This window comes from Homo sapiens, chromosome 15 (assembly GCF_000001405.40).
Source record: "Homo sapiens chromosome 15, GRCh38.p14 Primary Assembly".
NCBI classification, from domain to species: Eukaryota; Metazoa; Chordata; class Mammalia; order Primates; family Hominidae; genus Homo; species Homo sapiens.
Genome location: NC_000015.10, coordinates 55,234,397 through 55,260,520, shown reverse-complemented (window position 1 = coordinate 55,260,520; position 26,124 = coordinate 55,234,397). Strand labels below are relative to the sequence as shown.

The following is a 26,124-nucleotide window of genomic DNA, read 5'->3' as shown; positions in this document are numbered from 1 at the left end:
TGGCAATTATGAATAAAGCTGCTATAATAAATATCAGTGTGCAGGTTTTTGTGTGGACATGAGTTCTCCCTTCATTTGGGTAAATACCAAAGAATGTGATTGGATTGTACGGTAAGAGTAAGTTTAGCTTTGTAAACAACTGCCAAACTGTCTATAACAAAGGGCTTGTACCATTTTGCATTCCTACCAGCAATGAAGGAGAGTTCTGGGTTTCCACATCCTCACCAGCATTTGATGTTGTCAGTGTTTTGGATTTTGGTCATTCTGATAGGTGTATAGTGATATCTCATTCTTGTTTTAATTTGCAATTCTCTAATAACATATGATATTGAGCATCTTCTCATATGCATATTTGCCATTTGTATATCTTCTTTTGTGAGATTTGAGAATATTTTTAAAGGCACTAAAAATACGTAAATAGATGGAGAAATATGCATGTACTTAGGTAGGTAAATTAAACATCATGAACATGTCAATCTTCTTAATTTGATCTATAGATTTATGTGATCCCAATGCAATGCAATGCAATTCCAATAAGAATCCCCATATGGTTTTTGAGGAACTCAGATGGAAATGTGAAGGGTTCATGTCCTTGGTAAGGTGGGTACCAGTCGTAACAGGTATGAAGTTATATTTTAGGGTCATAGTGATTAAGGCATTGTGGCACTGGCCCAGGGATGGTCAAAATGACCAGCGAAACCAAATGTAAAGCCCTGAAACAGATCCATTCATTTATTGCATATCACTGGGCAAAAGATAATTTTATGCAATAAATGGTGCTATGACGATTGTATATACTTAAGGGAAAAATAATGAAATTGGATCCCTACATATACCTTGAATTCTCAGTGTATTAAAGACTTAAATAAAAAGGCAGTATCTTTATAAACATAATATAAAAGAATATCTTTATTGCTTTAGATAAGAATTTCTTGGCTGGGCATGGTGGCTCACACCTGTAATCCTAGCACTTTGGGAGGCTGAGGTGGGAGGATCACTTGAGACTAGGAGTTCAAGACTAGCTTGGGCAACATAGTGAGACCCCATCTCTACAAAAAAGAAAAGAAAATTAGCTGGGCGTGGCGACTCATGCTTGTAGTCCCAGTTATTGGGAGGCTGAGGTGGGAGGATCACTTGAGCCTGAGAAGTTGAGGCTGTAGTGAGCTATGATTGTGCCATTGCACTGGAGTGAGACCGTGTCTCCATTAAAAAAAAAAGAGACTTTCTTGATATGATATAAAATAAATAACTATAAAAAAGAATAAATTTGACTATTTTAAGATTAAGAGCCACTAAAAAAGTGAAAAGACAAACCAAAAACAGTAAGAATATATTTGCAACATACATAACTTATAAATAGTATCCAGAATATATGAAGAACTGCACATCCATAGAAAAAGAACCTGGCTGGGCATGGTGGCTTATGTCTATAATCTCAGCACTTTGGACGGCCAAGGTGGGCGGATCACTTGCCGCTAGGAGTTCGAGACCAGCCTGGCTAACATGGGAAAACCCCATCTCTACAAAAATTAGCCAGGTATGGTGGTGCGTGCTTGTAGCCCCAGCTACTTGGGAGGCTGAGGGATGAGAATCACTTGAATGCAGGAGGCAGAGGTTGCAGTGAGATGAGATTGTGCCATTGCACACCAGCCTGGGCAACGGAGCGAGACTCTGTCTTAAAGAAAAAGAACCCAATAGAAAAATAGGAGAAAGATACAAATGTGCATTTTAATAAGAGGAAACTAGATGGCCAAGAAACTAATAAAAGATGCTCACACTCATTAGCACTCAGAGAAATGTGAATTTAGATCACAATGTGTTACCATTTTGAGAAGTCTGACAACAAGCACCAAATGTTGGTGAAGATATGAAGTTGGGAGTGTAAAACAACTATATTGGACAGCAATTTGACATTATCTTGTATTACTGAACATGTGTGCATAGGTATAGCCCAGGAATTTCACGCTTTGACGCCTACCCTAGAGGAGGTGACTCCCCCTGGTGTGCACTGAATTGGTTCAGATGTGTTGAGATGTTGAACCCTTTGTCCCTCAGGGTGGCTGGACAGGGCCTGGCCTTTCTGGGGCCCTAAAACCTATTGCCTTTGATCAAGAGCATATGCCCTGGTAGGTCATACAAATATCATGAACAAGGTTGGAAAGCAATTTTCTAGAGAAACTCTTGCTGGTGTGCATTAGGAGACAGGCACATACATATAGCAGTGTTAAGTGAGACCAAAAACAGGATAGACCTGGTATAGGTAGTGAATTCTTCTTCTAGGAAAACACAGAGACATTAAGTAATTAGATAAGGGTAATAAGAGAAGGGTTCTAACCTCTTATTTCTTAGTGTCAGTGGTTTCAAGGAGAGTGAGAGGTGCAGAGAAGGAGCTGGAGGAAAGTGATACTACAACTCCTCCTCACTGTGTGTTTCCTTTTTTTTTTTTTTTTTTTTGAGACTGAGTCTCGCTGTATCGCCCAGGCTGGAGTGCAGTGGTGCGATCTCAGCTCACTGCAACCTGCGCCTCCCAGGTTCAAGCAATTCTCGTGCCTCAGCCTGGAGTGCAGTGGCATGATCTCAGCTCACTGTAACCTTTGCCTCCCAGGTTCAAGCAATTCTCATGCCTTAGCCTCCTGAGTAGCCGGGATTATAGGTGCCCACCTGCACGCCTGGCTAATTTTTGTATTTTTAGTAGAGACAGGGTTTTACCACGTTGGCCAGGCTGGTCTCGATCTCTTGACCTCAGGTGATCCGCCAGCTTTGGCCTGCCAAAGTGCTGGGATTACAGGCGTGAGCCACCATGCCCAGCCAGTGTGTGTTTTCATTGAGATACATTCAGATGGGTGGTGGATGATGATGGGCAAGGCCTAAGTTTGGAATCTGAGGAGGTGCCTATTGCAGGCTCCTAAGAGGAGTGAATGCTGTGCAGGACATCTAGCTGTCTTCCCTGACATTTCCTTTTTACTCACTGCCAGATAAAGAACTTTACAACAGGGAGATAGTATCTGGAAACTGAGTTTAATCAGAGCAGCAGGGACTGCCCATCATGTCCTGTGTAATTGAGTTTGGCTGAGAGCACCCTGCTGTTATCCTTGGTCTTGTTCATCCTGAACTAACAGCATGTTCCCTCTTCTGTGGCTTGTACAGTCATGGCCCTCTTTTTGGAGCTTTCACTGTTGGCTACTCTGCCTCTGTCTCAAGGGCAGAGGTAAATGTGGGCCACAGGGACTGGGGATGATTTTCAAGCATTTCTTGGTCATGTGGCTTTGATGATCTCTCATGCTGAACCTGCCCCGATCCAATCTCATCATCCTTCCCTTCCAAAAATCTGATACCACCCACAAACACCTTATGCCCATTCCAACTCTTTCCCTTCCCCACTTCAAATGTCCTGCTTCTGTTGGCAACATTATTTTGGCCTCCTGGCCCCCTAGGCTTTATTCTTTGGTGTTCTCTTTGCTGTGTCCTTTTCCACCTGATGTGGAACTCTGTTCTATTATTTTAAAATTAGTGTATCTTGGATCCCCTTCTTCCCATTCCCATGCGGCTGCCCTCATCTAGGCTCTCATCTTCAAGGAGTGAGAGGTGATAGAAGGGACAACTGTCACCATGACCCCACTTAAATTTCTCATGACTAAGCTTTGAACTTTGAACCTGGAATCATACAGCATAGAATGTCTGTGTTGGAAAGAGACCATTGTGGTCAAACCTCTTATTTCATATTTGATAAAACAAGGCCTGCAGAGGGATGGTGACCTATCCTGGGTCTAAACAGATGGTGGCAGAGGAACCCCATATACCAATGGATTAGTCGTCCTGCTCTCCTCAATTTGTCACATTACCTCATAAGCATTCCTTTGAGTTTACAGCCAGTTTTGTACTTAGAGGATTATATCTGAGGCACATTTGTATCCTTTGAAATGATTAGCAAGCCTCCTCAATACTTGTTAAATTGAAGTCAAAACATGCCCTTGCATGAAACATGCTGTGTATCCTATTCTTCACTATCTAGCTAAATCTTGCCTGGCTTTGAAGAAGGTGCTCAGCTCAGGTCCTGGCTCTTGCTTTGAGTCACGGTCAGATTGCTCCCTCTTTCTTTCTTTTTTTGAGACAGGGTCTCACTCTGTCACCCAGGCTGGAGTGTGGTGACATAGTCATGGCTCACTGCAGCCTTGAACTCTTGGGCTCAAGTGATCCTCCCACCTCAGCCTTCTGAGTAGCCGGGACTACTGGCACAGGCCACCTCACCTTGCTAATTAAAAAAATTTTTGTACAACAGCATCTCATTATGTTGCCCAGGTTGGTTTTGATCTCTTGGGCTCAAGTGATCCTCCTACCTCAGTCTCTTGAATAGGTGGGATTACAGGTATGAGCCTCCATGCCCGACAGATTGCTCCCCTTTTCTGACCTCCCAGCCTCTACTTGACTTGTAAAACAACGATCTTACATGTACCCAGTAGTTTACAGTTTATAAAATGCATTTCACATAATGTACCCTTTAATCCTTCCAATAATCTTGCTAGATAAATATTCCCATATTGAGGAAACAGTGTGGGGAAGCTGTCTGGCTCACCACAGGACACATAGCTAGGAAGGAAGTAGCAGAGTTCAGGTCTTTTGACTTGAAGCCCCTTTCACTTTTGATTTCTTGTGCTGGCTGGTGCACATGGTGTACCAGACGTTTTTCTCCCTGATAATATTGTCTTATCCGTCCTTTTTCGTAAATGAGTACATCATTCCACCTCACCCTAATTACCAACTTCTTGAAGGGAGCAGTTGGATCCTGTGTTTCTTTCATGCCATTCGTAGTTGCTAGCACCGTACTGGAAAGGTAGTAATTGCTTACCAAATACTGTTGAATTGGATGTAAATATGGTTTAATTATCAAAAAAGCACAGCTATCAGTGGAGTCCCCAAACACTTTTTGAGTCACTTCTAAATAAAATTGGCAGGGAATGGAGGGAACCAGCGGAAGGAAAAGGCTATTAGAGAAAGCAGATGATAGACACAATTAGCATTTGAGTGACAGCTGGCCAGTTGTCTGTCCAGTGGTGAGGGGTAGTGGAGAAGCAATACACAAAATGAGACTCTTCAGGAAATATGCAACTGTACCAAAGAGATGAAACACACCCATGAGGTGGGAATGGAGTACTTAAAAGTGGCAGATGACCTGTACAAGTTAGCCAAAGCATTCATTCATATTAATAAACATTGATTAAAGGAATACCCCGAGGAGGATGGATTTATGAGAACAGGCTTCCAGGGTGAGAGTGGAAGGGATAGAGTTGCAGTTTGGTTTCAGTTTGTGATCATTCTGTTAATTACTGGAACCAGGAGAAAAGAGACATAAGTAGGTGAGGATGTTGCCGTTGAAACAACTTTCTCTTCCCTTTCTTATACTATGTGCAGTCAATAGGACCTCAGCCCTGAGCCCTGGCAGTCAGAAGTGAAGGAAAGACAAATAATTGCTCATGTCATCTGTGCATAGAGGTGTGTAGTGATGAGCAACTTGCTGGATTTTCTGGTACTGCCTCCTTTAACGTATTTTTGTGCATTTTCTTCATAAATCAAAGAGATGCTTTAAAAGTTCTAATACTTGGACAACTAAATTGTGTTTCCAACTCTGCCTTTTCCCAAAAGGGTCACAAAAATCCATAGACATAAGCCGCAGATTTTGGTTTGGAAAGTCATGCTGCATTTTATCTTTATGTTTGGGCTGCTCCCGAGTTCATAAATATTTTGTGCCTGAAAGAAATGTAAAACCCCTTCCACTGTAATATATGTGAAAAATGTCCAATTTCTTAATAGTAGAAGCCAAACATTTTCTTTTGTGAGTTTCTGTCTCCTACAGAGAACATAAGATGGAGGGCTTTTAGATTAGAAGTAATAGAATTTTAATATCTGTTCCTTCCTGTCTCAGAATTTTTCACAGTTTATAAGTATATTATAAGAGCTAAAGGAATGTATATCTAAAATGCTTACAAGCATCAGAAATTAATGGAAATTATTTCAAATTAATTAAAAATTATAATTTTTATACAAAATAATTTTATCATGTTGTATGCTGTAGATTCTAAAAGAAAAATAAAAAACTTTTATTTCTTAGACATTCATATGTGGTTTTAAAGTGATATATCTAGGAAAATAGATTAGTACCATTGAGGCCTATTGTTAGATGTGTTGGTTTATTTTTAATGCTTGATGGCTATATAGCAATTATATTTTTTATGTGATAAGCAAGTATGTATAGGAAAGTAATAACTTAAAAGGAATGTCATTATAATATTTCTTTCTTTAAAAAATAGGAAGGTATTTCTCGAGGTCAAAACTCAACTTACAAACCTTGCAGCCAAATTTGTTGGTATATAAAGTCTAACTTTATACTTTAAAATGTGGACATACTAAAATGTGATTGTAGAATTATGAGATTGATTTTCATGTGTGACTTCTGAAACCTTTTTTACTACTTTACAGTTATCTCTCATGCAGAATCTCATTTCAACCTCATTTAAAAAATTAAGTGTACTGTTACTTGTTTTTGTGATTTCCCCTGAACACTCAAACATAGTTTCTGAAGACTTACTTATTACTTATCAATTATCCATGTTATAAACACGTGGATACTTACATCTTCATGGTTTATGCTGCTCTTGTCTACAATTTCCTTTATCCTCTTGCGTTGTTCTCTTGCTGATTCATAGTCTCTTTGCTAACACAAAGTCTTTATTTCTGTGTTAGTAAATCTGTATTGAGGTTTATTCCCCGACTCTTTTTTTTTTTTAAACAAGGCTCTTGTTCTTTCTGAGTCACCCTCTTGCCTGCTTATTTTAGCCCTTATGTTCTTAACCTCTAGGCTTCAAATATCTTTCTCAGAGGCATGTTAAGAAAATAGGAGCTTTGTTTCCATAGATGGCCTTATCCTGGGCTTAGCTGAGGACAGAGACAAGGTATGGCCTTGGGGGACTAAGTTCTAACCTGGATGCTTGGCTTTCCATCTGCCTAGGTAGGAAAACGAAACTTAGTGAAGGAACCTAGTTGGAATACTTAGGGAGCCTTTCTTTTTTTTTTTCCTTTGAGACGGAGTCTCGCTCTGTCACCCAGGCTGGAGTGCGGTGGCACGATCTTGGCTCACTGCAACCTCTGCCTCCCTGGTTCAAGCGATTCTCCTGCCTTAGCCTCTGGGGTAGCTGGAATTATAGGCACCCGCCACCGTGCCCGGCTAATTTTTGTATTTTTAGTAGAGATGGGTTTCACCATGTTGGCCAGGCTGGTCTCGAATACCTGACCTCAGGTGATCTGTCAGCCTTGGCTTTCCAAAGTGCTGGGATTATAGGCATGAGCCACCACGCCTGGCCATTAGGGAGCCTTTCTTTCTTTTTTTTTTTTTCAGAGACAGAGTCTTGCTCTGTCACCCAGGCTGGAGTGCAGTGGCACGATCTTGGCTCACTGCAACCTCCGCCTCCTGGGTTCAAGTGATTCTACTGCCTCAGCCTCCTGAGTAGCTGGGATTACAGGCACATGCCACCATGCCCAACTAATTTTTGTAATTTTAGTAGGGCTGGGGTTTCACCATGTTGGCCAGCTGGTCTCGATCTCTTGACCTCGTGATCCACCCGCCTTGGCCTCCCAAAGTGCTGGGATTACAGGTGTGAGCCACCGCGCCCGGCCAGGGAGCCTTTCAAACTGGTTGGCAGAGTAGAGGAAAGCAAGTTGATTGAATAAATTGCTGTAACTTAGAAGGTTAGAACATTTCTCTGGCTTTTGATAAAGCAACAACTACTATGGGTCTTTTTTTTTGTATATAGATAGATAGATACGTATATCTGTATCTATCTGTCTGTCTGTCTGTCTATCAATCAATAGCTTTTGGGGTTTTTGGCTGCATGGATGAATTATTATTTTATTCTGTACGTTTTTTTGAGATGGAATCTCACTCTGTCGCCCAGGCTGGAGTACAGTAGTGCGATCTTGGCTCACTGCAGCTTCCGCCTCCCAGGTTCAAGCCATTCTCGTGCCTCAGCCTTCAGAGTAGCTAGGATTACAGGCACGTGTCCCCACGCCTAGCTAATTTTTGTATTTTTTAGTAGAGATGGGGTTTCCCCATGTTGGCCAGGCTGTTGAACTCCTGGCCTCAAGTGATCCACCTGCCTTGGCCTGCCAAAGTGCTGGGATTACAAGTGTGAGCCACTGTATCCAGCCACTTGGATGAATAATATAGTGGTAAATTCCGAGATTTTAGTGCACCCATCACCTGAATAGTGTACATTGTACCCAATATGTAGTTTTTATATCCCTCACCACCCTCCCCCGGTCTTTTCTAGCTACTGTTGCTGTGGGCTCTAATGAACTGTGTTGTCTGCCCAGATGTCCTCTTGAATTCTTGGAATGCTGACCTCCAAGACTCCCAGATCCATAAACTACTCTTCCCCTTTGTTGACCTGCTCCTTAGTCTCTTGGTGTTTGACCTTGGTATGACTTTGAACACCTGTCTGAAAACTCCCTTTGTACTTAATCCCTGTGGGTTGGAGTTGATTTTGTGCTGCCTTGACATGAAGCCAGGTAGGGAGTGCTAGGGGTTTCTCTGTCCCCTCTACCTCATGCCGCTTTCTCCTTCCCTGGAACTTTGTAATGGTTTCAAGCAAGGGTACTTTCATGTAAAACACTCCTCATGACACAGACATTAGCTGAGCCTAATACTAGAAATTTCTTCTGAATTCATAGAAAGAAAATGAAGTTAGTAGAGAAAATCTGAACTTTTACTTTGATCAGTATTTTAAAAAATTTTTGTACCTCTTTATTCCCTTCTGTGCTATAATTTAGTATAAAGTGGCTTCTGATACAGCACAAAATAATATATTCTCAGTTATCTTAAAGTTGCTATACCAACATTTCATTGTGTTCTTCAAACCACATCTTGACTTTTGAGGGTTCATCCATATATAGATTTTTGAGCCCATCAGGACTAATCTGGTCATATTTTCTGATGGCCTCAAAGTGTCCATTTAGATACAAGAAAGGATCACCAATGTAGCTGGTTACAGACATCCTCCCTGCAGTTTTCTCTCTTGCCCCTTTAAGGACACCAGTTTCCTATCCCATGGTCGATGCTGCTTCTTTGGTTGCCTTTTGGGCAGTTTGGCCTCGATTTTTCCAGGACTCATTTCCAGGACCCTTTCCCCAGGAATGACGCAATGATGGTTGTTCTCAAGACTCTTCCTATGGTCTTCTTTCATTCTCTTAAGCTTTAAATAGCTCCTCTTGCAGTTCTCACCAGGGACACCCAAAGCATTTCAAATCCCTCCCAGATAAGAAGTGTGTTAAGGTGATATCTGAGAGGTGGCATCTTTAGGAGACGCTGAATAAAAGAGTGTGGCAGATCTTACAAATGAGCTGTCAACTGAAGTGGTTAGGCAGAGAGGAAGTGTTTAGGGACAAAGCCAAAGGCAAATGAGACGATTCAGAGCTGCATTGTAGGTAGACCTTTCTGCAATGATTTTCTAAATGTGTACAGTGAGATTCTTCTTATGTCCTTGTTGGGTCTATGGGCGTTGGTGTCTTGACCTTCACTCCTTTCATTAGAATATCACTCTGCTGCCATCTGTTTTATATGTTGGGGTGCCATGTAAGATTTTATTTGAAGAAACAGTTTTATTGCTAAAGAAAGTTTGCAACCAGCTGGGCCAGAGCAGTTTTCTGAGGCAATGAAAGGTTTGTTGCAATGACATTATGTAGGTTTCCTATGCAGGAACTGACTGTGAAGACACTCATCTGCTATGAAAAAGAAGTAGCCCAAACCCAGAATAGCCCTTTCATGCTTCTAGAAGTCAGACAACAAACTTCCCAAAGAATAATCTCTATAGTGATCTGTAATAAAATGTTGTGATGCAACATGTTGTGTTCATTCTTTATTGCTCAATTGACTGTTGTAACAGGATGAAAGCAAACATCTGCTGAAACATGTGCCTGAGCTTTGACTGCCGTTTACTGAATGTAGTTCACATGTACTTCCTTAAATAATTTCACAATAGACAAATTAATCCATTCTGATTAAGCAAAGGAGAGAAGTCTAGTGCAAAGTACAGTCTTCTCAACTAATAATTATAGGAATTCCAAATAACATGTATACGTTAAAGGTAGCCATAAATAGCTTAACAAAGTAGCATAAGTAAATAACTTGGAGGTCTCTAAATTTGGTATGTAACTTATTTGACTATATACTTTTTTTTATTCCAGTTTTTAAAAAACATAATAGAAGGAGTCCAGGCGCAGTGGCTCAAGTCTGTAATCCCAGCACCTTGGAAGGCTGAGGTAGGCAGATCACTTGAGATCAGGAGTTTGAGACCAGCCTGGCCAACATAGTGAAACGCCATCTCTACTAAAAAATACAAAAATTAGCTGGGCGTGGTTGCGCAGGCCTTTAGTCGCAGCCACTAGGGAGGCTGAGGCATGAGAATTGCTTAAACCCGGGAGGTGGTGGTTTCAGTGAGCCCGAGATCAGGCCACTGCACTCCGGCCTGGGTGACAGAGTGAGATTCTGTCTCAAAAAAACAAAAAACAAACATAGAAAAAAAAATCTTAATAAGTTTACAGAACTCTTAAAGTATTTTCATGAATCCCAGCGTTTCATAGAAAACAGACTGAAAAGCACAAATTTAATGCTTCTCTGAATAAGGACTGCAATGCTTGTTCTTTTATTATGCTTTATATTCATCCTCTTTAAGACATGACCTTGGGCTTATTTTCTAAAAATGAATATGATCTAGGAGTTTCAACACACCTTTCTTAGAAACAGATGAAGTAGCAAAAAGATAAATAAGGATATATCAGATCAAAAACCACAACTAACTAGCTTGACTAGAATGTATGTAATTTTGCATCCAACTAACAGGGTGTACAGATTGTTTTCACATAATCGTGGAACATTTATAAAACTTAATTCAGCCCGGGCATGGTGGCTCATGCCTGTAATTTCACCACTTTGGGAGGCTGAGATAGGAGGATCACTTGAGCCCAGGAGTTCAGGACCAGCCTGGGCAGCAACATAGTGACACCTTGTCTTCCAAAAAGAATTAAAAAGAATTATCCATTTTTGGTGGTGCATACCTGTGATCCCAGCTACTTAGGAGGCTGAGGTGAGAGGATTGCTTAAGCTGGGGAGGTCAAGGCTGCGGTGAGACATAATTGCGCCAGTGCACTCCAGCCTGGGTGACAGAGTGAGACCCTGCCTCTAAATAAATACACTTAATTCCTCTTAAATTCCACCAAATTTGTTGTTAAGCAGACCACATTTAGTGATCACAATGCAATAAAATTAGAGATGGACAACAATAATAGCAAAAAAGCCAACTGTAATCTGACAGGCTGAGTTAGAAACTGGCTGGATGGCTGTGCATTGTTGTTCCTCAGTCATTTTGCATAAGCAAACGCAAGTCACACCCCATTCTATAAACAGCTGCTGATAGAAATGCAAACAGTCAGTTCTGAGACTCTGCATACTGAATAATAGGTGAAATAAGGAAAGACTTTGAGAAGCAATAAGAAATATATCTGATTTGACCTTGTCCATTAGGTGAGTTTCCTTTTTTTTTGGTTCAGTTAAAGAATATGATATTTAGGGAAACATTTAAACATGTGTTGTAAATATATATTAATGGAGACAGTAGACTTGACAAATACCAAAAAGACCTATATATAGCTGGCTGTCTACAGCTTATTGACAACAAATGGAAGAAGCTAAGAATCCTGGCATCATTGATTTAGTGGTATTAAAACATCAGGAAAAGCCTTGATTTTTCTGAGCCTAGTTTAATGTTTTTAAAAGAACTAAGTTGGCATATAATAAACATATTTATAGATACTAATATTTTAAACACGTGATCTATTTGTATCAGAATGCTACCTTTTCATTAACATTATGGTGAAACCAAAACTGGCATAGTATTAGAAACACTTGGTTTTCCAGAATGGCTCTTTTCCCATACTTTGCAGGGGAAAAACTCTTCCTGATTGGAAAAGTGGGAGTACCTGAAGACACAGCAGCATTATGAATTTATTGAGGAGGGTTGAACACCTTGAAGTTGATATAGCAACTCAGTGTGTTACAAGAAAAGCACTAATATTGTTAGTTTCATGTCACTTTTTGCACATGCAAACCGGAGTTTGGCAATAGTACCTGGAGATGAGGGACAGGAAAGCCAGGAGAGGAAGAAGACTGTAGAGAGGTTATGGCACCCAGATGATGGTTGGAAGTGAGGCTGTTGGAACACAGCATGGGGTGTGGTAGGGTGGATGTTTGACTATGGAAATGAAAATCAGCTGTGAAGAGATGGAAGTCCTGTGTGCTTTAGCATGCCACCATGTACCTGAAGAACATATTCCTGTGGGCAGAGAATGTATCTGCTTAAATGTGATTAGTGCCTGTAGTCTGGGTGAGGTGATGGGCGCCTGGAGTCCCAGCTGCTTGGGAGGCTGAGGCAGGAGAATGGCGTGAACCCCTGAGGCAGAGCTTGCAGTGAGCAGAGATTGCGCCACTGCACTCACGCCTGGGCCACAGAGTGAGAGTCTCAAAAAAAAAAAAAAAAAAGTGGTTAGTGAGGAAGAGGGTGTTGGGTAGGCAGGACAAGGGAGGCATGAAGCCATACCTGGTGCCTCTTAGTAGTCTTTGTAAGTATCTATGTGTCAAATTGATGGTACTCATATTCTCATTTTGTACAAAGTCAATGATAAATGCGCCCGTCTCTTCCCCAGTTACTGCCAACTCATGGATGTTTGTCTAATTGTTTTTATTATTTGGACAGTCATGTTTAACACGTCTGGCTGCTTCTAATTCATCATGTTTCTTGGAAGGAAAGAAGTATCATTGCTCCTTCAGAAAGCAAAGGGTTTGCTTTTTGAGTTGGTGCATTTCCCTAACAGATTAACATCTTTCCTGTGTTGCAGCAAACAGAAAACTTGAGGAAGTTGAGATGCAATAGGAGAGTCAGTCTGTGTTGGTCAAAAGCTTTCCATGCATGTTTCATGTTCTAGGAAGATGAGTCTTGACAGATTCCTTGACACTGTTTTTAGGTCTGTGTTTTGCAACTTGGAAATTCTCTTTGCAATGTGAAGTCCTTTGAGTGCTATCTGATTTTTTTTTTTTCTTTTGAGTGCTATCTGATTTGTAATTCTCTCAGTCCTGGCTGGGGTAGCAGTGCTATCATTTCTATTTTTTTCTGCCTTTGAGCCTTGGGCCCACAAGTTTGGTGGCACTCTGAGATAACCAAAGCTTTTCATTTTACCTCTTCAGAGCTTGTTAATACCAGAATTCCCTGTACTTACCAGTTGGACTTGCAGATGTTCTACCTTCCAGGTAGCTTAAGTTGTTCCTCCTTTTTCATTTTCAGGAAATATTTCCACTCCATTCTTTGATAGCTTTATGAAGTCTCAGTGTCATCCTGAAGGTAGACTGGAAAAAGCCCCAGGATCAGTGCTCAAGCCTGGTTTAAGCCTTAATCTGTCATAATCATAAGAATAGCTATGATTCATTGATCTTCATCAGGCATTTTGCTGTTCAGTTTGTACAGGTAGGAGGTGGTATACTATTATTTGAATTTAGGAGAACTTGACTCCGAAGTCTGTGTTTCACTGTCTTCTATGTGCTCACAAAAAGCAACCACTCAGTGGGAGCATACTTTGTAGATTTTGCACTCATTCCAAATTCTTGGAGACTGCTTGCTTCTTGGTGGTGGTAAGAGGCATGTTTAGCTATGGGTTGAGCAGACTTTTGGAGTGTCGAGTGGCTGTGTCCATTCTGAGACTGCCGTCACATTATTTGAGATATTACTAAGCAAATCAAACAGCCACACCTGTTTCCACTGTACTGCCTATGTTTTACCAATGACATATATTCTATGTGTGCTTTTTTTTTTTCTATTACCCTATATCTATGGAGCAAGGGGTACTTGTCACAAACTATAAGTACTATAAGACCCAGTGTTTTGGTGAATTTACTTTCCATAAATCTCTATAAACATTCATATTCTGATCCTGGAAGAGCCTTGGGCAACAAATAATGTCTTTTGGGTAAATGAAGTCAATGGTTTCAATAAATTAAAAAAAAAAGCCGATATCTCATTTGAGTTATTGACATTGGTCTTCCAGAACGTTTTCTGCTTTCAGGAATCATTTCAACGCCTCTTGTTTCCTAACATACAGTTGTTTGTGTTATTTGCCTACTGGGTTATGTTGGTCACCCACTGAGGTGATGGTAACATTTCAGAAATAGTTGATGGATTTCTGGGCTATGACTGCTTATTTTTTTCTTCATCCTGGTCTTTCTCTTTAAGAAAAATTATGAACATCTGGAAGATGCTGTTAAAAATGATGTATGTTTTGGTGTTTTGGAAGCATTTATAAATGTGTATATATATTTATATGTATTATATATATATCTATATCATATATATATCTTAGACGAAGTCTCACTCTGTCGCCCAGGCTGGAGTGCAGTGGCATTATCGCCCGTGAACCTACCGGATTCAAGTAATTCTCCTGCCTCACCCTCCTGAGTAGCTGGGACTACAGGCTAATTGTTTTGTATTGTTAGTAAAGTAAGGGTTTTGCCATGTTGGTTTTGAACTCCTGACCTCAAGTGATCTGCCTGCCTTGGCCTCCCAAAGTGCTGGAGTTACTGGCATGAGCCACCATGCCCGGCCCAGAAATGTATATTTAATTCAACAGTATTTACAGATAATTTTATTTTTTGTCTGAAGAACTTGCTATAGTGGAATATCACCATCTGCTAGAAGTTGGTCTAGCAGTTTTCTAGCAGTTGGTGAGGGAAATGGAATATTCCTATGTAGCAAGTGCATTTATAAATATTAAGCCAAATGCTATAGAACTTAAGATCTCAACAGTTTCTAGCCATGAACTTCTCTGCTGCCTCAACATCACTGTTAAGGATGGACTTATGTTATTATTATAAAATACTGTACTGATAGGAATGCACTTATGAATCTTAGGTTATAGGTGAATATAAAATGCAGTTATCTAATATTCTGAATTTAGATAAAATCAAACTCATCTTTTAATAAGAAACAAGAAAGAATCATATTCCTGTTTCCTTCTACTTTTCAAAGGTGTTAGATTTCCACTTCTCTCCGCCTGAGATTTTGCACAAACAAGATGAGCTCTTTGTTTATAACATCATTTTTTCCACTCTTGACATATTAGGGAGGGCGCAACCATATCTACGCACATCTAGACCAGAAGTTGAGATGAGTAAACTGCACGGAAGACATAGGCTGTCTCCACTTATGGAAATGGGGTTCCTGCTATTGGGCAGTATGCATCTTGCTTTTGAAGTGGAAGTAGCTGTGTTCCACCTCAGGGTGTAGGAATTGTAATGGTCTGTGAGAGTTGTGGCCAGGGCTCATTTGGTAAATACAAGTGTCCCTACTCATATATCTTGGTACATTATAAAATGCCTCTTCTAGCCTGCCTCATGCCATGTGACTTCTCTTCCTTGCTTTTGGTGTCTCTGTTATGTGTTTCCTTCCAGAATGCCGGGTATGGGTCCACAATGGCATTATTAAAACAAAAACAAAATAAAACAAAAAAAGCAAGAAAAGCCTACTGCTTTTTAACGTTAAACATAAAAGTACTGATAAGGTTTATATTTCTATGCCAGTCATTTGTATATGAACATTTTCTCCAAATCAATCACTGAACAAGGGGATGTTAAATTATATGAAAGAACATGTGGTGTTATAATTCACATAAATGCTGATGTTCTGTGCTATTTGAAAAGTAATAGTTATATTCATCTGCTCCTGTTTCTCTGCAAAAATAATTTTGCACTGCAATAAGTGAAGTCCATAAGCTACATAGGAACACTCAAATATTGAACCATTCTAAAAAATTCAAAATATTTTCAGATAAAAAATTCTTTATAATATACCTTATGTTTCTCTTTATAAAAATTTCTCCTCTTGAGCTCGGGAGTTTGAGACCAGCCTGGGCAACATAGGGAGACGTCATCTCCCCCCAACAACAACAACAACAAAAAGCTGGGCATGGTGTATGGTGTTGTGCACTGCTGTGATCCCAGCTGCTTGGGAGGCTGAGACTGGAGGATCACATGAGCCCAGGAGGTTGAGGCTGTCTCTTTCTTCTCTACTGAGCTTTATGTGTTTTTTTGTTTTGTTTTGTTTGTTTGTTTGTTTTTTTGAGATGGAGTCTCCCTCTGTCTCCCAGGCCGGAATGCAGTGGTGCTATCTCTGCTCACTGCAACCTCCACCTCCCAGGTTCAAGTGATTCTCCTGCCTCAACCCCGCTGAGTAGCTGGGATTACAGGCACCCATCACCACGCCTAGCCATTTGTATTTTTGTATTTTTGTATTTTTAGCAGAGATGGGGTTTCACCATATCAGCCAGGCTGGTCTCGAACTCGTGACCTCAAGTGATCCATCTGCCTCAGCCTCCCAAAGTGCTGGGATTACAGGTGTGAGCCACTGTGCCCGCCCAAGCTTCACACTTTTATTCCTTTTCCATGTTTATTCCTTTTGCATCTTTGTCAAACATGTGACTTAGGATATGAATTTTGATGTCATATTGTGTTATGTTTATGAGAGAAGCTTAAAATGTTCAGAAAGATGGACTTATTTGAAAACCCAAAGGCAGGTATAGTTGTTGGGAGAAGTTAGACTGGGACATGGCTAAAACTATAAGGTCTAAGGTAGGCAAGAGTAAGAGATTTTCCACATTGAATATAACTGAGTTGGATCCCCATTGTACCCTGGCACCTAGCATATAATAAGTATTCAATCAATATTTATTGAATGAAGGAAAAAGAGAGAGGGCCAGAAGTGTCCTTACAGAGACATGATGTCAGAGAAAATAATGTTTTTTTTTTTTTGAGATAGAGTCTCGCTGTGTCGCCCAGGCTGTAGTGCAGTGGTGTGATCTCGATGTTATTCTCTTGCCTCAGCCTCCCAAGAAGCTGGGATTACAGGTGCCTGCCACCATGCCCAGCCAATTTTTTGTATTTTTAGTAGAGACAGCGTTTCACCATGTTGGCCAGGCTGGTCTTGAACTCCTTACTTCAGGTGATCCACCCTCCTCGGCCTCCCAAAGTGCTGGGATTACAGGTGTGAGCCACTGCACCTGGCCTAAAATAATCTTATTCGAGAGGAAAATACTTATTTGAGAGAAAACGGGGCCGAGCAATTCTACAGGTAAATGAAAAATTTCATGATTGCTCTGCTTGCTTTTCATTTTGAAACCATAGGAAAGAAAGATGATTTATGGGATATGGTACAAGTATTAAGAAGAGTTATTTTTTTTTCTTGGATTTGCAATGACCAGCAAGAAGCAGACAAGCTCCCAATTTATGACTTCTGTCCTTGGCAGAGCCCATCAGGATGAAGGGCTTCTTGATAGAGGGACTCTGAGCACAGAAGTACAGATCCCTCAACCCAACCTCTCTGAGAGCACAAGCCTTAATTATAAAGCATTTTATCACTGCTATAACTGCTGGCACTGAAGAAAACTTTTGATTCTTGAATTCAAGCAGCTGTAACTGAGGTTTCTCACTCTGAAGGAAGGAATACAGACAGAAGAAAAATATGCATACATGACTAGAATTTAGGAGACATGAGATCTAGATTAGCCCCATGTCTAACTAGCTGGTTTATTTCAGACTATTCATTTACCTTCTCTGAGTTTCAGTTTCCTCTTCTGGAAATTAGAGCATTCAACTGATGGGTACTCCTAGGTCTGAAATTACCAAAAATCACCCAGATACAACTCATTCTTAGATTGGAATGCCAAGGTAGATTTTGTGATGGATAGGGCGCCCCAAAATCATTGTACTTAACTTAAATTTCTTTCTGTGATTTTTCTGAAGGTTCAGGTACTGGTTACATTAAGAATAGGTTATAAAATTACATGCCTTGCTAATGAAGAACGTGGTGAAACTATTAATAATAGTATTTTTAATAAGTCTCAATTATTGAACACTTAGCACAGGGCAAACAATGTGCTAAAAGCTTTCTGTGGGTTATCTCACTTAGTCCTTAAAACAACCCAATGAGATTAGTACTGTTATTATCTCCATTTTACAGTTTAAAGAATAAGGCTTAGTATAAAAAACTTGGATCAGATCATACAAAGTAGAAAAGTCAGAATTTGAACTCAAGCCTATTTGCCATCACACTGAGAAAACATCAGTCTCTATATGGTATGAGTCTTGTCCAGACATGAAGTTCTTTTTAAGGATGATGAGCAGATAAAATAAAATCAAGTATATTTATTACATGTTGCTGTTCAGTTAATATTATTCCTCCCCTTTCTTTTGCTCTGTACTAAATATGAGTAATAGAGGGAAAATTTGGCTTTCGGAAAATGGCTGACCTATCTAGAGTAGTTTTAGAATGATTCTGCCTAATAGTGGGGGATCCTAAGGTTGGAGTCTATGATTCACTTTAATATGACACTTCATGGAAAATCTGGGCTGTGATATGTCTGTGTGTGTGTAGCAGAGAGAGAGAGAGGGAGAAATAGAACTAGATCTTTCCCTTTCCTCTTAACTAAATCTACTCTCTTCTATCTTATTTCCTAAAAAACACTTAAAAAGTATTTTTAAAAACATTTAAAAATCTTTAAGTGTTTTTTCCTTCAACTTAAGTTCAGGGGTACATGTGCAGTTATTTTTATTTATTAAATAAATTTATTTAAAGATGGGATGTTAATCTGTTGCCCAGGCTACAATGTAGTGATGTGAGCATATCTTACTGCAGCCTTGAACTCCTGGGCTTAAGCAATCCTCCTGCCTCAGCCTCCCAAGTAGCTAGGACTACAGGCTAATGCCACCACACCTGCCTAATTTATAAAAAAAAAAACAAATATATATACACACATATATATATATATATATATATATAAATAGGTCTTGCTAGTTGCCTGGGCTAGTCTTGAACTCCTGACGTCAAGCCATCCTTCTGCCTCAGCCTCCTCAGTCACTGGTATTACAGGTGAAAATATGTTTTATTTTAAAAATAAGGAAGATGATAGACTTTCTCTCACCAGGCAATTAACACCACATAGTACATGTTGAGGAAATGGGTGTTCCTTGCTTTCTATTGTTAATCTGATGATAGTGAGGGTGGAGAGCACTTTGAAAAAATATTTGTATAAGGAGGAGAGAGAGAAGTGAGCTGAATAAGAAAGTCTTTTGCATATCCCAAATTAAGGTCATTCTTGACTTTTTAGAAGATATTTCCTTGAGGTAGACAGCACTTTTCTCAAGGCAGTACAGAGTTTAAATATATAACCTTGGCTTCAAATACTCTTAGCAGATCCTTATTTTTAAAAATTAATTTTTGGTTTAGGGGCTCAATGTACTTTCTTATACTTCTAGGAAAGAAAAGAACATTGCCTGCATATTGACCCTTGGAAGCCAGATTGCTGGATGCTGCTGCTAATAACAGCTAATACTTACATAGAACTTACTATGTCCTGTGCACTGTTCCAAACTTTGTGTGTATACACTAGCTCAGTCCTCACAACAGCCCTCAGAAATAGCTTTATTATTGTGCTTCATTGAGTCTAAAATATATTGATGATGCATTCTTGACCTTGCTAGAAGATGCTAACAAAAAGCTTTCACACAGTTGTATCTCTATTGCAATTGCAATAATAGCAATTGCAAGATGTCTTGGATTGTAAGACTGAAATGTAAGATGCACCCCAATTTTAAAGAAGTTAAAATAAGAAAGCATGTTAGAATTGATAAAATAGAATCTCTTCCTGTTTTACAGGTGAGGAGCCCAAGGCAAAAGAGACTAAATAAATTTTCCAAAGTTACATGACTGGACTCAAATACAGGTGGCTTGGTTGTAGAGTTTCTGCCTTTAACCTCCATTTTTTTTTCCTGTCTCTCAACAATAGATTGGAATTGTGCCCATGCTAATATGTGGGTAGACTGGCCAAGACTCAGTTACTTATGCCCTCACTGAAGCACTTACGATAGAACAGCTCTAGATCTTTCTGAGGGAGACAGTGTATATGCTATGTATAGGGCAGTGATGAGGATTGTTGTGCTAATGTGTGTAAAGTGCTTGACATGTGGGCATCTGACCTAGGTTTCAGACCCATTTTCAGCAAGAGAGTGTCAGAGGGAAGCCCTTGTGAACTGGCTTCCCAAACCTCAGTAGGCTGGAGTACAAGCAGGAAATGGTGAGCATACAACGTTGTTTGGGTGCCCCAAATGTCAAATTCTGGTACTGTGTGTTCTCACTGTTTACTCCTTCCTGAAATGAAATGCCAACACAAAAATCATTTACGTTATTAGATTTCTGTATTTGAGGAGTGGAGTATTTTCTTTCTGGAAAACAGGCCCTAGGAATACTACTCAGGACTTGAATAATAAATAAGAGAACAAAAATTGTTTATATGAAAATATACCATCAATTGAGACTTAACATTAAATTGTCTTCACCTAGTAGTGATAAGTAGTGATGAGAAAGCCACGTATGGACTTGCAGGATGGAGGTGGGAGTATAGTCTGGTATAGACTAGAATGATTTTCTGCTGAAAGATGGGGTAATTCCACTAACTCCAGGCTTTCACTAACTGGACTGCAAGCTCAGATAAGAAGGCTGTCGCCCTCAACACCATGCCCAAACCTTGAAAGATCTGTTATTTTGAAAACCTGCCTGCCCCCAACTCCCTTTATTTCTCTGAAATTTTCTTATTCTTTGGAATTCTGGTCTCTTTTAACCCAGACCAGCCTGGTCAGCGTGATCAGTTTTGAACAAACTCTAGACAGCCTCCAAATTTGCTAAAGGTTTTCCCCAATCAGAATCTTCATTGTTGGGTCATGGGTGAATATTTTGCTGCCAGGTCTTTCAGGTAAAATGGGAGGTGAATTCTCAACCCAGGAAGCCTGTGTCACTCATCACATATTTCCCTGTTATCTGTCATCTTCTCCTATGCCAGTGCTCCTTTCTCCCAATCCTTTACTGTACTCGAACACATACATGCTGTTCGAGTGTGATTATACAGTATATAATGGTGGAGATAAATTTTTGGATACAGAATATCTACAAATGAGGTAATTTAAAAATAAAATTTTAAGTTTGTTGGTTTGGCACAAGTTTTAAACACCAAACTGTTGTTTTTGTTGCTTCTGATTGTCATTTTACATTTCTAGTTTTGAACTGTTTGAACATCTGAAATTAATTTGAAACATTTCAGACTGTTTTGAACCAGTCTATATTGGTCTAAACCAGTAAAAACAATTTTACAGATAACTATAGTTATCAAACTAGTTTCCAGCAGTTCGATAGAGGTAGAACCAGTGTGACTCAATTGAAAGTGGATTTAATTTGTCAGCACAGTTTGATTTAGTAAAATATACTCAGAACCAACTAAAACTTTTAGAAGCCTGTCAGAACCTGCATGTCCAAGTCAGAGCCTATTGGAACTAGCTAAAACCAGTCTGAAGCAATTAAAGCTAATTACAATGAGACTCCAATAATTTTGGTTAGATATATCAGGTTTTAGCCAAAGTCAGAAAGTTTTGTAGGAGAACCTCTTTTAACTCACCGTAAAATAATATGAACCAGATTCTTTTGAACAACTATGAACTTGCTAAAATGGATGGTGTATTTTATATGGATTTGAACCTCTTTTTAAGTTGATCAGAACTCTTTTGAAGTAAACATATCTGTATTAAATGAATTGCAAATGGTTAGAACCAGCCAAAAAGGATCAGAATTATTTGAAAGTGATCTTTGTTGACTCAGCCGACCACTTTGAGCCAGTTAGCAATCGTTTGTGCTAGAAAGACATGTTTTAAGCTGGCCAGAGTCAATCTGAAATTTGTTCTAGATCTTCAGACCCAGTCTGAACGTCCACAATGGGGAGAATAAAGTGAGCCAACAGTTAAGTACCCAGTATATGCCAACCATTGTGCTGGGCACTCCATAAACAGTATCTCATTGAATCCTCAGAATAATGGTGTGAGGTAGTGTATATTCTTTTTTATAGAACAGAAACCTGGAAATCTAAGGCTCAAAGACATCCAAGTAATTGGTATCTGGGAGATTTGGGATTCAAACCCAGCTCTGCTTGACTTGGTGAGTTTCCTATTAGGTTACCTTGTAAGATACCATACTACTGGTCACTTTAAAGCCCAATGTGCATTTATAACAAAAATGAATAATGGATATGAAGCTTGGGGTAGAATAGGCATTGGACTTGGAGCTAGGAGATCTAGATTCTAGATCGTGCAAATCAGTCTACCTCTCTGGGTTCTGTTTTACCCTTTAGAAAACTGAACCCAGAGAGTGGAAGGTCTGAACATTTATTTTCAGATCAAGAAAGCAGATAATTGTCTTAAAGATACAATCTGAAAAGTGCAAACTATGATTAATATTGATGGTGGTGTCTATACCTTCAATTTATGGTATTTGGTTTGTTAACAGTCCCTTTATGATTACTTGGTCAGTATTGCTATTGTGAATAGAAAACAAAACTCACGAAGATCATTTGTAGACTTACATGTGTGATTACCCATGGAAATGAAACACATTAGAGATAGTTTCATTTAAGTCTTTGAATTCCACTTAAGTGAGTTTAGAGAATTCTAGAATATGATGCCATTGGTGACAGCATTTTTTCCTGTACCCTAAGTGATGTAAAAAACATAGTTATACCAACTTTTTTTTCAAATTAAAAATAAATAGGAAATAAGGTAGTCACAGTGTCTTCTTGCATCATTCTCACTGCAGGATCGGTATTGTTATCTGCTGCTCCATTCAGTTTGAGGGGAAGCCCTCAAATGAGTCAACATTATCTGGACTTGCTTTTCAATTCTTAGCTCTTATTTCCAATAACTTAGAGCCAGGTGTGATGCTGTGATATGACGTGCTATAATGTTGATGTCCAAGTTGTCGTTTTTTGGAGAGGAATTCTGTTATATGTCATTAATACTGGTGACCTATACTTGCAAATATCCAAGCTATAAAGACAGGTAAGGCATCATCTGTGAAGTGTCACTCTTTATAGTGTGCAAATAGAATTTTGAATGTTTGTAGAGGCTCTGCCCTTATCCACGGGCTAGCCATACCTGAAACGTGAGGTTGCAGATCTGCACTGAAGCACTCTGAGGAAACACACTGCAGTGGCTTTTGGGGCTCAGCATTCAGGAGTTTTCAGCATAAGGTGAGTCCCCAAGTTGAGGATGGGGTGAGGGAGGTAACACTGAAAACCAGTAAATATTCTTGTCTGAGTTTTTATTAATTTTATGGATATATAGAAATAGTCCTACAGGAAGCACTGAATATGGCAGCCAAGTTTCTGGATATGGTGCTGGGTAAAAAGGGGATAACGCCGGGAGTCAGTAGCATCCAATGTAGGACATCTGGCATGTGTATAGATGGATAAATATGTATGTTTGAATAGTCATGTAGAGTCGTCAGTGTTAATGAGATAGCTAGTTGTTTTTATGATTTTCAGGAGAGTTTATTGGCATTGGCGGGGGAAACGGAGAGAGGTTGGTTAATGTGTACAAGCATATGGTTAGATGGAAAGAATAAGTTCTAATGTTCAACAGTAGACTAGGGTGACTATAGTTAACAAAAATGTATTGTGTATTTTAAAATAGCTAGAAGAGAGGACTTGAAATGTTCTCAATGCATAGAAATGATAAATACTCGAGGAAATAAATACCCTAAATACCTTCATGTGATCATTACATTCTATGCATGTAACAAAATATTACATGTACCCCATAAAAATATACAAATATTATGTATCAATAAAATTTTAATGAAAAAGTAAACCTCCCCTGGAGAGAGATCCCATTTCTAGTTGGACTGATATTTTGGGTTTGAATCTATTTAGAAGGTAAATACAAATCATGAAAAGTGCTGATTGCAAAGAACCAAAAATAGCCGTGGTTAGGTATTGCTGATATAAATGAATTTTTCTTCTTTAAGGTGGACTTTTGTTTTAGTCGGTACTGAAGAGCTGAATTTTTAGCAGTTCTTGATAGAGTACCCAGGTAAACATAGGTAAGCGAGCCCTTGGTTGTGGCACTGTGGTCTCTGAGCAGTGACTGTTCAAATCTGGAACTCAGTTCCCAAGTGAGCAGTGATACTCTAGAGAAGTCTGGCTTAATATGTAGTACATATTAATAGTAATATGTAAGGAAGCAGGGACTAAATTTACTTGTGAAATAACAGTGTCTTTGAAGGAACCGTAATAACATGTGAAAATGAATAGAATAAATGAAATTGCCTAGATGTCCATGTAAAAAGAGAGAAAAGGCAAGGTTCTAGCACTAGGAGACTTTCTTTCTTTCTTTTTTTTTTATTTCCATAGGTTTTTGGGGAACAGGTGGTGTTTAGTTACATGGATAAGTTCTTTAGTGGTGATTTCTGAGATTTTGGTGCACCCATCACCCAAGCAGTGTACACTGTATTCAATCTGTAGTCTTTTATCCCTCACCCGCCTCCCACCCTTTCCACCCGAGTCCCCAAAGTCCATTGTATCATTCTTATGCCTTTGCTTCCTCATAGCTTCACTCCTACATATGAGTGAGAACATATGATGTTTGGTTTTCCATTCCTGACTTACTTCACTTAGAATAATTGTCTTCAATTCCATCCAGATTGCTGTGAATGCCATTATTTCGTTCCTTTTTGTGGCTGAGTAGTATTCCGTGGTGTGTGTATATATATACAGATAAAAAAATTGTGGTGTACCACAATTTCTTTATCTACTCATTGACTGGTGAGCATTTGGACTGGTTCCTTATGTTTGCAATTGCAAATTTTAGCACTAGGAGACTTTGAAAAAGGAGGGGAAATTGGAACCACTTGCACTCTAATGATTACTGTTATTCCTTATAACATTCTCTTTCCTCTGTTTTTCTTGTATTAGTTTTTGTTCTATATGGTCTACAGATAAGACTTAGTGACTGTTACCTTCTTGTTGATTATCATTCCCACTTGAAATTTTTGTCCTAATGGTACTATAATATGTATGTTTTTATTTTTATTTTTATTTTTATTTATTTTTTTATTTTGAGACAGAGTTTTGCTCTTGTTGCCCAGGCTGGAGTGCAATGGCGCAATCTTGGCTCACTGCAACCTCCACCTCCCAGGTTCAAGTGATTCTCCTGCCTCAGCCTCCTGAGTAGCTGGGATTATAGGCATGCACCACCATGCCTGGCTAATTTTTGTATTTTCAGTAGAGATGGGGTTTCTCCATGTTGGTCAGGCTGGTCTCGAATTCCCAACCTTAGGTGATCTGCCCACCTTGGCCTCCCAAAGTGCTGGGATTACCTGTGTGTTAAATTAAAACTACACTGTTAATTACTATTTCAATAGCTTCTCATCTAGCTAGTTATTAGGTCTTCAAGGATGGTGAACAATATGTATGTAACTCTCTTTTCATACAACCCGTAGACATACAGGTTAACATTAGGTGTTAAACTGAATATTGTTGTCACTTTTTAAATGGATAATTAATGTTTTCTAATGGATTTTAATTAAAAAATTTTGTGTGTATTTTACAGGTGAACTACTGAGTTCTTCATTATGTCTGATGGAGATTATGATTACCTCATCAAGTTTTTAGCTTTGGGAGACTCTGGTGTAGGGAAGACCAGTGTACTTTACCAATATACAGATGGTAAATTTAACTCCAAATTTATCACAACAGTGGGCATTGATTTCAGGGAAAAAAGAGTGGTAAGTTCTATATCCTTCTATGTAAAAATGTAATCGTTAAGTCAACATTTGCTGGTCTGTTTAGTTTACTTTGTAGGAATTAGGAGGACAAAGGTTGGGATCTGAAATTAAAGGTACATATGAAAGTGAGTTATGTTCAATCCAGGCAACATGATTGAAAAGGCTGTGCTGACAGCACTTCATATAAAACCAGGCAGACAAAGTGGAAGTGGACAGTTCTTTAAAATGTCACCTTGGTACTCTTTTGGCTTGTATCTTCCCTCTGAACTCCGAAAGTTATTTGTCTACCTTTGTCTTGAAGCCTGCCAACCACCTTGCCCCTCATACTCTTGTTTTATGGGCTGTGTCTTCCACCTTTGGTATCTTATTATTTTTAATGGCATTT

At 39.3% G+C, this 26,124-nt stretch overlaps 1 protein-coding gene across 18 annotated transcripts in view; it reads left to right on the top strand.

Annotated features, from left to right (window-relative positions):
• RAB27A (RAB27A, member RAS oncogene family) overlaps positions 1–26,124 on the top strand; it is a 116,158-nt gene that overhangs the window by 58,603 nt on the left and 31,431 nt on the right. For 8 of the 18 annotated variants that reach the window (NM_001438977.1, NM_183235.3, NM_001438973.1 and 5 more), the window contains one exon: positions 25,565–25,739. In NM_001438977.1, coding sequence (NP_001425906.1) covers positions 25,587–25,739 — 153 coding nt within the window. In that variant the 5' untranslated portion in view covers positions 25,565–25,586. Of the gene's footprint in view, positions 1–497; positions 601–11,472; positions 11,570–22,029; positions 22,119–23,078; positions 24,057–25,564; positions 25,740–26,124 lie in introns of those variants that run through there. The other 10 variants (NM_001438970.1, NM_001438975.1, NM_001438978.1 and 7 more) reach the window with 7 other exon arrangements.